This window comes from Homo sapiens, chromosome 4 (assembly GCF_000001405.40).
Source record: "Homo sapiens chromosome 4, GRCh38.p14 Primary Assembly".
NCBI lineage: Eukaryota > Metazoa > Chordata > Mammalia > Primates > Hominidae > Homo > Homo sapiens.
In genome coordinates this window covers 156,246,880-156,248,335 of record NC_000004.12, presented here as the reverse complement: position 1 = coordinate 156,248,335, position 1,456 = coordinate 156,246,880, and the positions used below count along the sequence as shown (strand labels likewise).

Below are 1,456 nucleotides of genomic sequence, written 5' to 3'. Positions count from 1 at the left end.
TAAACAGACTTGATTATTTTCCACTACTACTCACTATACAAGTTTCAGGTTTGCTTCCTCCAGCAATTTCCCAGGGATTTTAATAATTCTAGACTATTTTTAGGTTCATTTCTTGGTTTTTATTGCTGATACTCTGCAGATAGTATGAACTTTGATCCTGGACCCAAAGCTGGCTTCATGGGCATGAGATCTGTTCAGTCTCAGAGGGCCCCACACTCAGAAAAGCTCCATGCTTAGTTTAATATTATGTTGTCCCCTTTTTGAGACTCTTGATAATTTTCATCTTTGAACTTGTGTCTTGTAAGTGAAGTCTGATGAGGCAATAATGCAGAGGAGATAGGCACAATATAGCTAGCTATCCACCTTCCTTGATGCCCTGTTCCCATATAATGCTCCATGAGTACACAAGTCCTGTGACTCTTGAGGTACGGGCGTTCAGCAAAACTCAGACAAGGAAAAAGCACGTTACCTCTACCACTGATTAATCAGGAGCACTGACAGCCCCAAAAGCCCACCCATTCTGATCAAAGCAGAACTTGCATCAAACAGGAAAAAACACAATTGCATTCTAAGAAACACCATGACCAAAGAGCACTGTCATATCCTTTCTTACTTGTGTTAATTCCCTGTACTAACTAGTCAACCACTGACACTAAAAATGATGACACAGCAGGAAAGGGAAAGATAGAACTACCCATTGTTCCTCTTCATTTCAGTGCCTATTTAGTTGTCTGTATATGTAGGTAGAAATGTTGGTAGAATGTGCATGTATCAATAAGATAAATAAAAGCAGTTGAGTTAGTTTTATACAGTTTCCACCGTTCTTGTAGAATAAAACACATAGGCATATACGAGCTGTGAAACATGAATTGTATAATTTCTGTGATTCATTATTCTAATACACATTCATATTTGCATTTAAAACTATCATTAGACACTATAAAAATTAAGGGTAAAATTCCAGCTAATTTAAAATTTTAGTGTGGTGTTTTTGTTTGTTTACTTAGAAAGACTTAAATAGTACCTAAAGTGTACCATAACACATCAATAGAGAGACTATGGAAGAAAGTAAAAATTTTTTATTTTAGCACCATTACCAGTAGTGGTTTTTTTCTTGCTTTATGAACAAGAGGCCCTGCGCTTTTATTTTGCATTGGGCCTAGCAAATTTTGTAGCCAGCCTTGCTTATATACCTGCTTGGTACATGTCTAGGATTCTTTTTCTCACAAATGGTGTATTTTTCCCACCCAAAGCATTAGACAAGTGACAAAGTTTTTATATATTTATCTGGGCCACAGAATAGAGTTTCTGTAATCCGTGAAGACAGTGAGTACCTAAATGTTTCTTGCTGTTAGCAGGAGCCTCTTACCTTGCTTCAGGGAGTATATCTGTTGCCAAGACTTCCATGAAAGGGTATGTAATAGCACCCTCTGATAGCTGACTATTCATTTCTGGT

The 1,456-nt window shown here is 37.2% G+C and overlaps 1 annotated feature.

The window, feature by feature from the left end:
• Positions 572 to 772: a silencer, noted in NCBI's record as "peak5138 fragment used in MPRA reporter construct". NCBI's record gives its function as "represses an SCP1 promoter by STARR-seq MPRAs in K562 erythroleukemia cells {active_cell/tissue: K562}" and the evidence as "EXISTENCE:reporter gene assay evidence [ECO:0000049][PMID:32103011]".